General features: G+C 40.6%; 1 protein-coding gene and 1 pseudogene across 3 annotated transcripts in view; one reads left to right on the top strand and one right to left on the bottom strand.

Annotated features, from left to right (window-relative positions):
* GTF2F2 (general transcription factor IIF subunit 2) overlaps positions 1-14,668 on the bottom strand; it is a 164,384-nt gene that overhangs the window by 137,245 nt on the left and 12,471 nt on the right. For all 3 annotated transcript variants that reach the window (XM_011535052.4, NM_004128.3, XM_011535053.4), the window contains exon 2: positions 10,843-10,916. In XM_011535052.4, coding sequence (XP_011533354.1) covers positions 10,843-10,916 — 74 coding nt within the window. The remainder of the gene's footprint in view (positions 1-10,842; positions 10,917-14,668) is intronic.
* Positions 9,684-9,787, top strand: RNU6-69P (RNA, U6 small nuclear 69, pseudogene; annotated as a pseudogene).

The raw sequence follows: 14,668 nt of genomic DNA, 5'->3' as shown, positions 1-14,668 counted from the left end.
CTCTTCTTTGTTGAGGAAGTATCTTAAAACGAGGTGAGAAAATTTTAAGATTTCACATAAAAATATGAATTTCCAGCTTCTCTTACAAGAATCAGAGATATGGCAAAGATTGGCCCCCAATTCAGCATGACAACAATACCCTCAACTTGCATTTTGAGGCAGGCACTAAATTCACCACAGTCCCCTCTCTAGCACTCCTGAATTTAGCTTCTAGAGCTCAATTTAATGTAACTGCCTTTAATTTAGCTACCTGTTTAAGGCAGAGGTGCTGTAGACAAAACAAACGAAAAGATGCAGAAGACACTTCCATAATGTTTACAGAATTCTACTGAGGCTAAGGCAAACACCCACATAGAAAGTAAAGACAGCTTGAAGCAGCTAGTGGTAGAACGTAAGGAAGAGATACATAGCAGGTCATTAAATTGTTAAAACTAAGAGAAGAGGAAATGACTGGAAGTGGGCAGCATAGGAAAAAAGATGAATTAAAGATCATGTTGACATTTTCAGTCTTGGTAACTAGATGCAATCAGGGAACACAGGAGGAGAGGACAATTTCATTTTCACACATATATAATTATAACAGCATCTTAATTGGAATGATAGATTGATGAGCTCTAGATGAGTTAATACTCTCTAGGAAAAAAAGCTAATCCTTGAAGACTTAAAACTTATTTTAAAAGAATGACATATTCCCTTGTCTTGGTGTGTGAATGTATGAAGTACACATAACCTTTTGTTATTCTACATTACAACTATAATATACCCTTTGTATGATGACCTGTGTGCAAAATTTTAAATGCTAATTATTGTACAATACAGTGCTATCTTCAGAAATTAATGAAGTAAACATCTGGCCATCCTTTCACTAAATTTCTCAGAATGCTGTGCATTTTCTCCTTTACTACTCTGAGTCTATTTCTCAATACCCCACAGCTACTTTTTTAGATTCCGGTCTCATTCCTGTTGCCTTTCTTAATTTGTATTAATCATGTCTTTCCTTTTTCTTACACTTTTAAAATACTTCTTGGATTTGGTACCAATGGGGCCTGGCTTTTCACTAACAGGCAATAAGCAACACCTTTTCCAGGTTAATAAAACAATATCATTATTCAACTGTTGGCTCTTGTTGGTTTTGTTTTGTTTTCTTTTTGTGACAGGGTCTTGACCTGTCACCCAGGCTAGAGTGCAGTGGCATGATGATGGCTTACTGCAGCCTTGACTTCCTGGGCTGAAGTGATCCTCCCACCTCAGCCTCTGGAGTGGCTGGGACCACAGGCGCTCATTACCTTATCTAGCTAACATTTATTTTTATTTTTGTAGAGACAGGGTCTCACTATGTTGCCCCAGCTGGTTTCGAACTCCTAGACTCAAGTGATCCTCCTGCCTTGGCCTCGCAAAGTGCTGAGATTACAGATATAAGCCACCGCACCAGGCCTTGTTTTAATTCCTATTCATACTTCCCCTAACTGAACAACTGAGCTCAAAAACCATTAGGTGAAGCCAAACAACATAGGTATCTTCTTCAGAGTGGGTTGGATAGGATGGTCATAGTCCAAATGGGGTGAAGAGGATGCCACTGGGGTGAAGCAGGCAAGCAGGGGCAAGGTATCAGAGCCCAGTCAGGTAAGGAGGGCATCGCTATAAAGGAGTGGCTCAGTAAGAAATGTGTCAGAGCCTGGCGGGTGAGAGCATCCACATATAGGAGGACAACCTGAAACAGGATGCTGGACCCTTAGTGGGGTAAGGAGGCATTCCTATGGAGGAGGGGAGAAACCTCAGAACAGGAATGAAAGCCTGAACAGGGTGAGGAGGGTGTCCCAGTGGAGGACAGCAAAAGTGGCAGCACACTGAGGGGAGCTACAGCCCAAGCAGGGTGAATAGGGTATTTGCACATGGAGTTGGGAACGGACTGAACAAGTAAGAACAGAGGCCCAAACAAATAAGTAACTATATTAAGGACAACAGGAACCAGGTTTCTCACTTTTGGAAAAGAAGCACAAGTAAGAAAAGGAAGAAAACTGGAACAAAGTATGTGGTATTTTATTGGAACTGGATATATTAGTGCAAACTCATTTCAATATATGTAAATATAGAAATACAGATGTAAAGAGGGATGTGTGTGGGGGAGGTATGTGTGTGTGTACATATGCTCCCTAGCTCTGTTCACTGAGAAGGCCTTGGAAGCAGCAAGAAGCATTTGGGGTATCCAGATCTTAGTTTCTAAATATCATTCTCCCCTAAAAGGAACCATGGCCAACCCCTTGGAGAAATGGCTAACTCCAGGGCTTAGGCAGAAATGTATAAGATGAGTCTAAAACATCTCTCTATGTCAAAAAAATAACAAGTGCTCAAAGAATGATGAAGACATGTCAAAAGGGCATAAATATTTTACTATTAATTTATCCTCATATATTAATCTTTCCATCACTCACCTATTACTTCCCTGGGATAAGTTCCTAGCAGTTGATGGAATGAAAGAAACAAAGAGAAATTTACAGAATTGCTGGATGAAAGGCATGAATTTTTTTTATTAATTTTTATAGCTTTCTCATTATCCCAGTCCCACTCTACTGGATGAGCTCATTTGTCTATCTCTCTAGATAATGGCATCATCGAGAACTGAATAAAATGCTTGAGCTGTGAGCTAACTGGCAGAGAAAACAGTGGGATTGTTATTCTATGTTGTTTTGAGCAGGAATATGTGTGCATGTTGTGTAAGTTATATACACACACATATATGTTGCCAGACTGCCTTTCAGAAAGTTTGTAACAAATTGAACTCCCGTCATCATATTATCAGTATAACACTGTTCTAAACTCAGTCAATTTTATAACAGAAAAATTGTGTCTCATTAATTTTTTGTTTCCATACTTTTTATTATTAGCGGGTCCCCACATGACCCAGAATGTTAAACATGTTTAGAAATAAAGCTAGAAATAAGCACTTTGGGAGGCCGAGGCGGGTGGATCACGAGGTCAGGAGATCGAGACCAACCTGGCTAACACAGTGAAACCCCGTCTCTACTAAAAATACAAAAAATTAGCCAGTCGTGGTGGCGGGCGCCTGTAGTCCCAGCTACTCGGGAGGCTGAGGCAGGAGAATGGCGTGAACCCAAGCCGAGATCGCGCCACTGCACTCCAGCCTGGGTGACTGAGTGAGACTCTGTCTCAAAAAAAAAAAAAAAAAAAAAGACCAAAAAAAGAAATAAAGCTAGAAATAAAAATCTCGGGGAGAAGCCATATTATTAGTACAGGCTACATGATTATCAATAAGATATAACATATATCAAACATTTGGACAACTGAAGTATTCTGAGGCAGGATGGTGATGTACAAAGAAGGTTGCCTTTAAAATTAAACAAGCTAAAGCAAAACTATAAACTAATTTTTTTTTTGAGACTGAGTTTTGCGCTTGTTGACCAAGCTGGAGTGCAATGGTGAGGTCTCCGCTCACTGAAACCTCTGCTTCCCCGGGTTCAAGCGATTCTCCTGCCTCAGCCTCCCGAGGAGCTGGGATTATAGCCACACACCAACACATCTGGCTAATTTTTGTATTTTTAGTAGAGACGGGGTTTCACCACGTTGGCCAGGCTGGTCTCGAACTCCTGACCTCAGGTGATCCACCTGCCTCAGCCTCCCAAAGTGTTAGGATTACAGGTGTGAGCCACCATGCCCAGACCAGCAAAACTATAAACTAATTAAAATGTGGCACACATCAGATGTCCAAAGATACAAAAATAATCCAGGTACATTGGTTTAGAAATATCATATAAATTGCTTGATAAAAATGGTCCAAATGTTACCAACTGTCAGAACAAGCTGTTACTCTCATCTTATTCACAACTGGACTCTCCTTTTTTCGAGTATTAAGACAGAACCAAATTCAGGAAGAGCTGCATTCCAGGCTGCACGTCTTTTCCCTCCTCTCTGCCTCTCCCAATCTCTCCACCCACAGCCCTGTCTTCTGGAATAAGCAGCCACGCCATACAGATCTCCTAGTTTCTGGCCTGCGACACACAGCAAGCTGCTGCTGAGCTTCGGAAGATGTGGTAGGGAGGGAAGGTCCTCCCACACCACATTAGACACAATGCAGTATCTACTATCTGGCCTGTGTAGTATGCGTGGTTACAACAGCAGGAGAACTCTTATTAACTACGTATTTTACATGCATTTGAACCTATGAGGTATTAATATCATCTCCTCAGATGAGGAAACAGAGTAAACAATTTACGCAAAGTCACATAGCTAGTAAGTGATAGGGTAAGGACTAAACCTCAGGCTAATTCCCAGGTCCATACTCATAACCAGTATGCCACACTGCCTTTCTAAAATCTTAGTTGTTTTCATTTTGTACCCAAATACACATTTTTTTAAACCACAGGTAACCTATAACCTATAACCTATAAACCTACATACTTAGAGGTTAATCTGCCTCTAGGAATCAGTAGTTGATTCTACATCTGTGAGTACAGTTTACCTGGTCTGCCCTACATCTTCTCTTAACAGCCCTAGACTTTCAAATGTTCCTTATAAGACATTAATTTTTTTTTCCAGCTTTCTGATTATCCTAGTCTCACTCCACTGAATGATCTTATTCATCCATGTCTCTCTTTAAGTGCAGCACTAAGAACTGAACATAATGTTTTCACTGTGAGCTGACTGGCAAAGTAAGGAGGAGGATTATCATTCCACTTCATTCTAAACAACAGACATCTATCAATGGAGCCTTTTGTTTATCGGCTCATAAATTTGATGACTCATATTAAGCTCAAAATCAACTAAAATCCTGATAACCTAGTCACATGCACTGTAAGACATTCCCCACCCATCCTACACTTGTTTAACAGTGAATTTAGTTAATTCAGTAACAGCAATGAAAACTAAGTAAATTAGTAAAGTAAACAAGACAGCCTGGAGAATACAGCCAGGAGACCAACTAGGCAACAAGCTGTTTTCAAGCATTTTCATAGCAGTCTTAGGGTACTAATTACTATAAGTCTGTTCTCATCACTAAAAGTATCTAGATCTTCTACAAGACTGATTATGTGTTACGTTAGGTAGAAAATCTGCTAGACCTGTTGCCTACATATAAAACATGCAAACACACACAATTTGCTCCTTATTTGTCTCTGATATTGGCATAGGTAAAAACCACTAGATTCCCTTTTAAGAAATTCTGAGGGCCAGACGTGGTGGCTCACGCCTGTAATCCTAGCACTTTGGGAGGCCAAGGCAGGCAGATCACTTGAGGTCAGGAGTTCAAGACCAGCCTGGCCAACATGGTGAAACCCTGTCTCTACTAAAAATAAAAAAAATTAGCTGGGCATGGTGGCAGGCGCCTATAATCCCAGCTACTCAGGAGGCTGAGGCACGAGAATTGCTTGAACTCAGGAGGCGGAGGTTGCAGTGAGCCGAGATCACGCCACTGCGCTCCAGCCTGGGCAACAGAGCCAGACTCCATCTCAAAAACAAAATGGTGGGCTTACTTTTTCTTCAACTGTGGTTGAGGAAACTGATTTGAATAAAATAATTTCAACTCACTTCTACTGAGGTTTTACTTTCAAAAGAATTCAAGACTAAAGTGAGAAAAACAAGGAATGTAAGTACTGGCCATGTACTCTAGGGAAGAGATCAAGATGCAACAAAGTAAACCAAAGCCTCAGAACTACATACAAGAGAGAACAACAAGGAAAGCAAAATCAGACTTCTGTGCTATGTTCTGAAGTTAGCAAAACTAAGCCTAAAGGGGTTAGAAAAATACCTTGCTCTGGTTAGTGGATTTAAAACATAACAATGTTTTAAAACTTTGTCCGTATTAAACACCCAAAATGATTTGTATGGAGAGTAATCTGGAGGCTTACATACCAAGCAGTTACCCATGGCCACCTCTAAAGCATGTGAATGGGGAAAACAGAGACCTTTTCATTTTGTAAAAATTTTAAAGGAAAAAAAACAAGAAAGTAGGTATTACTTATACACTAAAACACACACACACAGTATTTGTAAGGAACTTTGGTTGGATCCCTAGAGAAATCAAACAATGCCAGCTCATAAATCAGCCTAGTAATGCATAGAATAACTACCCACCGTCTTCACCCCTACCCCTACACACACATCTGCTAACACTTAGGACAACTATATTATCAAAACCAGGACACCCTGGAGAGTGGAAAAGGGGGCACTATTAATAATTGCATAGGGAAACACATAAACTGGGAGGGTTCCAGGCAAACCTGGAGGTTTAGCCACCCTATGTGGATTAGCAACTATGTGGACCATCTGCTTTAAACTAAGAAAGAAAAAGACCTTGAGATTTTCTACCAAGCAAGGATTCATAAGGAAAAATTGCAGCATGCCCATTATTGCTTATTTAGCATGCTATCTTTAATATTTTACTTTAGTGATCAAAGTGGTACTTGAGATTTACATGGGTTTCTCTCAGCCTTGTTTCCTTTCACTCTTTTTCCTGTAATATTTTCCCCCTCCTCCCAAAAAGAGATACTATATTTCTGAACCAGGTATTTTCTTTACATAGAGGTTTTCAGGAATGTATTATTCATGGGACATGAATATTACATGGAAGGAGAACATTTGAGTTTACAAATATTTTAACAAATGCTAAGCTATTTAATGTTTTATAAACATCCTATGGGTTGGGAAGGCATTATTATCCACATTTTACAAACAAGAAGTGTAAGGCCCAAAGCCAAACAACTATCAACAGCCATTCAGGACTAGAAGCCAGGTCTTGAGCTGTATTGTGAAGGCACTCCACAATACCATGAGGTTCATCATCTAAGTACTCTCTCCTTTAGCCTGCCTTTCTTCAGTGACATACATTCCTGAGATTTTATCTTGGTTGTGGCTCCCATTTCAGTAAAACCTAATATAAAAAACTCTGAAGTTCATTACAGAACAGTAGCTAATTATGTACATTACAAAGAACTTCACATTGAGGGAAAAAAAACCTGTACATTTCAATATTATTTTTCTCTTTCAATAAAAGTATGACAACTCATAAAAATGTGACACATCTACAACTTTCCAGGAATATGTTCATCTTATAAACTTAAATATACAAATAAATAACTATTTCCATATTATCTTAATGGATTCATATAAAAGCCCTGCAAAAAGGCAACTTTTAGGATAAGAAATCTAAAGTCAGAAGATTCAGTGACTTGTACAAAGTCTCACTCATAGTAAATGATTGAGTTAGAACTAGGACATGCTGGAGTTTTCTGACCAATAAAAGGCCAGAATACAAGCCTGACTCCACTATGAACATATACTCAATCATTCCTTGAGAAAACGAGATATTACAGTTGGCCCCCTATATCTGAGTGGTCAATATTCGTGGAGTCAACCAACTGCAGACTGAAAATATTTTAAACATCGGCTGGGCATGGTGGTTCATGCCTGTAACACCCACACTTTAGGGGCTGAGGAGGGAGGATCCCTTAAGCCCAGGAGTTTGAGACCAACCAAGGCAACACAGGGAGACTCTGCCTCTACGAGAAAAAAAAAAAAAAAATTAGCTGGGCATGGCAGTGCTTGCCTGTAGTCCTGGGAACAGAGTGAGACCCTGTTTCAAAAAAAAGAGAAAAACAAATAGTAACAACTATTTACATAGTTTTTACACTGTATTAGTTATAAGTAATCTAGAGATGCTTTAAAGTATACAGAAGGATGTGTGTAGGTTATACGTAAATACTGTGCCATTTTATATAAAGGACTTGAGCATGGTAGATTTTGGTATGGGAGATGGGGCATGCCAGACACCAATCTCCTGCAGGTACTGAGGGACAACTGTACTTGTCCCCACCTAACTTTAGAACACAGTGTCTACTATGCCAAGCATTGTTCTAGACAATGGAGATATAGTAATCATCAAGACAAAAATCCTGACCTGGTAGAGTTTATACTTTAGTAGGCGATATGAACAACACATAAACAAATATACAGTATGTCAGATGGGTATAGTAGAAGGAGAATAAATAACAACACAAAAGAACAGTGAATAATAAGAGGGTAAGGGAGATAGAGCCTGCAGGGTGCTATTTTACATATGGTGGCCAGAAAATACCTCAATGAGCTGAAATTGTGAACAGAGACCGAAAAGAAATGTGGGAGTAAGGCATGGGGATTATCTAAAGGAAGAGTGTTACAGAGAGAAAAAACAGAAGAATAGCAATTATTAAGTTTGAGATGCTTCTGAAACATCCGAGGACATCCGAGGACACAGTCCAAACATCAACAACACAGTCAGAATTACGAGCGTGGACAGAGAGAGAGGTGTGTAAATACATTTTTTGATTTTTACTTATTTTCAGTTGAAATGAACATTTATTGAGCCCATATTAAATGAGACACAGCTAAGAAATGCCCCTGCCCCATCCATGCACAATTCACATCACCCAACCCAGGATCAATGTCTTGCTGTTTCTCCTCAGCTGGGTACATCCTACATTTCACTAGTTTTCTACCATTATGCAATCTCCTATAGTGGAGTAACAGGCTTGTCTTAAAGCTCAGAATCTTCTTAGAAAGTAGTGGATAACAGTCATAGTCACAGCTAACTAAAAATTTGCTTTAACATGCGCTGAGATGGACTCATTGCTTCCTGTGAATCTGCTAAGCTTGTCTGTCACTCTAATGATGGGCTCTTTGGAATAAACAGCATTCATAATAATCTTCACTCGCGGCCGGGCACAGTGGCTACCGCCTGTAATCCCAGCACTTTAGGAGGCCAAAGCAGGTGGCTCACTTGAGGTCAGGAGTTCAAGACCAGCTTGGCCAACATGGCGAAACCCCGTCTCTACTAAAAATACAAAAATTAGTCAGGTATGCTGGCGCACATCTATAAGCCCAGCTACTCAGGAAGCTAAGGCAGGAGAATCGCTTGAACCCGGGAGGCAGAGGATACAGTGAGCTGAGATCACGCCACAGCACTCCAGCAAGGGCAACAGAGTGAGACATTGTCTCGAAAAATAATAATAATACTGATCTTCACTCACATCATAATCGTCACTCACAAGTTCTCTGAAATGGATTATAATCAGCTGTGGCCTCAGCAGCTTCTTCCACAAAGCTAGAGTTGGCTGACTCCACATCAGTAAAGAATTCCAGAGCCTGCGTGTTCTGTGGTTGGCTCTAGGTCCGTGGTCAAGTCTAGGTTAATGGTTAAATCTTGGTCTGTGGTTAACTCTAGATCAGCGGTCAATTCTAGTAGGTCAGTGGTTGATTCTGGGAGTAGTGTGGAGAAAGTCACAGCCAGGGCATGGAACACAAAGAAAATAAGGACCTTCCTGAGCACGGTGCCTCCACGGAGGGCAGAAGCATCCTGAACTGTATATTTAAATACCACCTGGTACTTAAAGCCATGAGACCAAATGAGAACACCCAGGAAGTGAAAAGAGAGAAAAGGAAAGAACTAAGGACTGAGTCCTGGGGTCACATAACATTTAGAGACAGAAGATGAGAAGGGGCTTAGCAAGAAACTAAGAAGGAACAGCCAATGAGGCGAGAGGAGAAGAGATGTGTCCTAGAGTAAAGTGGGGAAAAAAAAGTCTCAGGAAAAAAGTGATCAACTATGTCAAATTCCACCGAAGTTCAAGTAAGAGAGCTGCTAGTTGACTCTTGGATTTAGGAATGTGGACGTGGCCGATTATGAAAAGGAACATGTGCTCGCCTCAGCAGCATATACTAAAATTGGAACAATACAGAGAAGATGAGCATGGCCCCTGCACAAGGATGACATGCGAATTAGGAAGTATTCCATATTTTGAAATAAATAAATAAATAAATAAGGAACACAAGTTTTTTTTGCAGCAGCTTCCATCAAAAGGTGGAGTCTGTTTTCCCATAACTGAATCTGGGCTTGGCCATGTGAGCTGCTTTGGTCAAAAGGACTTTAGCAAATGTGACACAAGCACAGGCTTTCAAAGTGCTTGTGCACTGGGGCTTCCTCTTTTCCTACTAGAACTCTTTCACCATCATGTGAATGAGCTTGCTAGAGATGAAATAAATAGCTGTTGCCCCTGCTAATGTCAACTCAACCACCACATACAAGTGAGGACATCCTTGCCAGGAAGGCCGCCCAGGCCAGCCCCAACCAGAATTGATCCATAGAATTATCAGCAAATAAAATGGCTTTTGTTCTAAGCCACTAAGTTTTGGGATGGTTTGTTATGAAGCAAAAGCTAATTGATAAAGAGGAAGATACCAGTAACAGACAAGAGCTGTTTCAATGGAATCATGGACATACGAATCTGAATGGAGTTGGTTAAGAATGAATGGATAGAAAGAATGGAACACAAGGCCTCCAGCTGACACTAGCTGAGCTTTAGAGGCTTTCCTTTCTAACAAGGCCATTTCCTCAACCAGAAAACTATATTGTTACACTGTTTTCTAGATACTCCCCACCCACTTCCAAAGCCCCTATAAGTAGGCCCAGTGGTACAGTGGCAAAGTCCTGCTGCAAGTACTTTCCTTGGTGCATCCAGTTATACCCAGCCTAAGCAAACCTGCTCAAGGAGGCAGACAGGATGGAGGGGTGAAAGAACTACATAATCTGCTGCTTCACCGCCATTAAGGTAAACCAATAAACTTGATATTATATTTATACCACCAGTCACTAGGAGTGTGGGTGTGGGGATATGTGTGTATGTGCAAGGATGTCTCCTTACAGGGCACCTAACCATCTCCTGACAAGCCTTGACATGCTCATTACTTGTCATTTTCCAAGTAAACTCTGATCAGAAATTATAATCACTTTTAAAAGCACTTATAAAAATTTCAAAAATAGCTTTTTAAAATGTCAAGAATATGTAAATAACTTACTTGGCAATCCGCAGTTTCCCAACTTCACCTCTTCCAGAGGCTTTAGCCCATTGCTGTGACAAATATTTAGGAACCTAAAACAAAGTAAAACACTAATAAGTCTATTTTAGATGCTAACATCTTTTCAAACATAAAATGATATATTGCTTCTATTTTTATTTTCTGCCTCTAATAAGGGATCATTATCAAGTTACTACTGTATGTTTTACACTATATAAAATACTAAGACACGTAAAAAATGATTTTAGCTCTCAAAGAACTTAATCGAGGTGGCAACACAAAACTAACATAGGTCAAATAACCTAACAATAATAAAGCACCAACTTATCTTCCCAAATAAGTCCAATTAAAGGTCACAGAAGAGAAAGGCTATCAGAAAAGGCTTCTCAGAAGAGAACAGCACTCACTATAGTAACAGCATTATTTAGAAACACCACTGGGCTTACGATTATTTCAAAAGTCAAGTTTTATTATGTAGAAAATTGTAACTTTGACTACTGTGAAGAAGAGGCTGCTAATATAAAAGGATTATTAAACAGCATAGCTAACATTTATATAATCCTGCCTTCCTGACACTGTTGTAAGCACTTTATATAGATTGACACATTTAATCCTCACATCTCTATGGAACAGGTACTATTACCCCCATTTTACAGATGATGAATTTGAGGCACTCAGGGACTATACAATTTACTCAAGGTTATACAATTAGTAAAGATGGAGACAGGATTTGAACCCAGGCATTCTGCCTCCAGGGTCTGTGTTCTTAACCAATACACTATATTGTGTTGTAACTGGATACATGCAATAAGAAGGACTTTAATTCCCAAAAAGGAAAAGTGGATGATATATGCTGAATCCCTACTATATACCTTATCTCATTTCTTCTAAAAAGTAATTTGGACTCTGGAATCAGGGCATACCTTGAAAGTTATCCTATTATTAGGAGTAAATGAGATACACCAAGTATAAAGCATAACACCTTACACAAAGCAATTACTCAGTAAGTGTCAAGTGTCATTATTTTTTCATGACAAATTTGGAGTGACAGTCTAGCTGCCAAAGCTGAGAAGGAAAGAAATTCTACCTAGCAGTACTTCATGTGCAAAAAAACACGACTTGACCACTAGTCAAATAAATTGCAGTACCTTGGTACAGCAAAAATTCAGGAATAGAAGGATGAAAAGAAGCCCCTGATGGTATTTGTTCAATTATGTATGCACTCTTCACATTAAAAGTTACTGAACAGGGCTGGGCGCGGTGGCTCACGCCTGTAATCCCAGCACTTTGGAAGGCCGAGGCGGGCAGATCACGAGGTCATGAGTTCAAGACCAGCCTGACCAACATGGTGAAACCCCACCTCTACTAAGAATACAAAAATTAGCCGGGCATGGTCGTGCGTGCCTGTAATCCCAGCTACTCAGGAGGCTGAGGCAGGAGACTTGCTTGAACCTGGGAGGCAGAGGTTGCAGTGAGCCAAGATTGCGCCAGAGCAATACTCCGTCTCAAAAAAATAAATAAAGTTACTGAACAACTACTAGATACTATGGGTTCATGGGGTGTGGTGGCTTGCTCCTGTAATCTCAGCACTTTGGGAGGCCAAGGCGGGCAGATCACTTGAGGTCAGGAGTTCTAGACCAGCCTGGCCATCATGGCGGAATCCCGTCTCTACTAAAAATACAAAAATTAGCTGGGCGCAGTGGCACATGCCTGTGGTCCCAGCTACTTGGAAGACTAAGGCACGAGAATTGCTTGAACCCAGGAGGTGGAGGTTGCAGTGAGCTGAGATTACACCACTGCACTCCAGCCTGGGTGACAGAGAGAGACTCTTGTGTCAAAAAAAAAAAAAAAAAGTTAGACAATATACTAGAGTCCAGTCAGGTACCATGCTAAACATCCACTATCCTGTTTCATCCTTCCAATTGCCCTGCAAAATCACATTCTCCTCATCCTACAGATGAGAAAACTGAGGTTCAGAGGGTTGAAATAACTCAAGAAGCCAGGATCAGATTCAAGACTCAACTCCAGACTGGTCTTCTGCTCTCTTCACTAGACCATACTACCTCTCACAAGGGTATACATGCTAAAGAAGAGTATGTAATAGATCTAAGGGAAGGAGGATTTTGAAGATTCCATATCTCAACAAAACTTCCACTACACTCTACTCCATTCATCCAAACAAGCTTAGAGGATTTGGCAAACTCCTTACGATGACTGTACCTACCCATTCGGTCTCCTTTAATTACAGGTGACAGAAAACCCACTTAAAGAGGATTTCATGTGCCAAATAACAAAAAATTCCAGAGGTAGCTTTAAGGTGGCTTCATTAAGGGCTCAAATGATGCCCTCAGGACTCTTTCACTATTTCTTATCTATCCCTCCCCCATGTTAACTCAGTTATTTGGCAGACCCCCACCTCAGGCAGCAAGATGGCAGAGGCAGCTCCCGAAGAGCATAAGTCTTCTTCCCAGAAGTCCCTAGCGAAAATTTGTCTTTCATCAAGCTGACAAGGGTGTGTGCCCTTTCTTGGACCTATCACTGTGCCCAGAGATGAGATACTTCACTGGCCAGCCTGAGTCAATGACATCTTTGCGGAAGGGTAGTCAATACCATTAAAATCACACAGATTGAAAAGGGGAAACAGTGGTTTCCACAAGCACAATCAAGATTCTGCAACAATGTCAAAGTAAATGGATACTGGTTAAAGAAGCAAATGTCCACAACATTATCTGCTGGATATCCTATGAACTTCTCATTCTCAACAACAGTATCCCCTTCATAATCTGTATTTCAAGCAACCATCCTAAGCACCATCTCCTAAATTCCTAGCTCTCTCCTTAGTACTTTTGTGGCGGAATCAGGAGGACCAGAGAGAGACCATGGGGTGTATACAGGAGGATATCTTTAATGAGTGCACTCAGACCCAGCGGACTTAACATCCAAAGACTGGGCCCAGAACAAAGACAGCACTTGACTTTTATACACACTTTAAAAAGGGGTGGGCTAGCTTGAAGCAGGCTTACAGTGGCACGAATGCAGCGATACAGAGGCAGGACAAAGACAGTTAATCAAATTGTAACAGGTTCATAACTCAGGATTACACATGACCATTGCCATGCAGCCCAGATGTCCATTATCTAGGTTTGCCTAGTGCCTAGCATGGCTTATTCCACGGCCTTCACTATGGCGCCCAGGTGGCCTGCTCAGATGGTTTATGACCACTCCACTACTTAGATAAAACAGAATACTTGAAGTCACCAGTTACAGAGAATGGAATTTATAAACTCATACCATAAAACAAATGAAAATTTGTTTTTCTTCTCCCTATGTTGAGGGAGTGCTGGGAGAGTCTCCAGAGCACATTCCTTTGTGTCCTGGCTTCTTAGATAGATAGCATTATCAAGACTTTCCCTGGGTCTGGGCTGTGCCTGTTGCTGCCTCTGGGACAAGTCAGCCTAATATAGGAAACCTTATTTCTCTTTTTAATTTTATTTTTCTTTCTTTAACTTCCCACCTCACTTTGACTCCCAACAATTCTTCTAACCCTCAATTCGCTGACTCTAATTAACATCTTCTCACTGTCCCCCATCTGCTATGTCCTCATTTCTCTCTTTAATGAAACTAGATTCCATGGTCCATCATTATAATCATTCCCTTGCCCCATCTTCCTCTGTCATACTAGCGTGGCAAAACCTTAATCCTGATTAAAGCCAATCTCTACTTCTCTTTATTAATTTATAATTTATCTGTGGTTTTATTTTATTGTGTTATTCCTCTTCTCTGCCACACTTGCACCTGAGCAGCTGAAGGAAAGCTCTCGATCACG

Source organism: Homo sapiens, chromosome 13 (genome assembly GCF_000001405.40).
Source record: "Homo sapiens chromosome 13, GRCh38.p14 Primary Assembly".
Lineage (NCBI taxonomy): Eukaryota > Metazoa > Chordata > Mammalia > Primates > Hominidae > Homo > Homo sapiens.
This window is presented reverse-complemented; position numbering and strand designations above follow the sequence as displayed.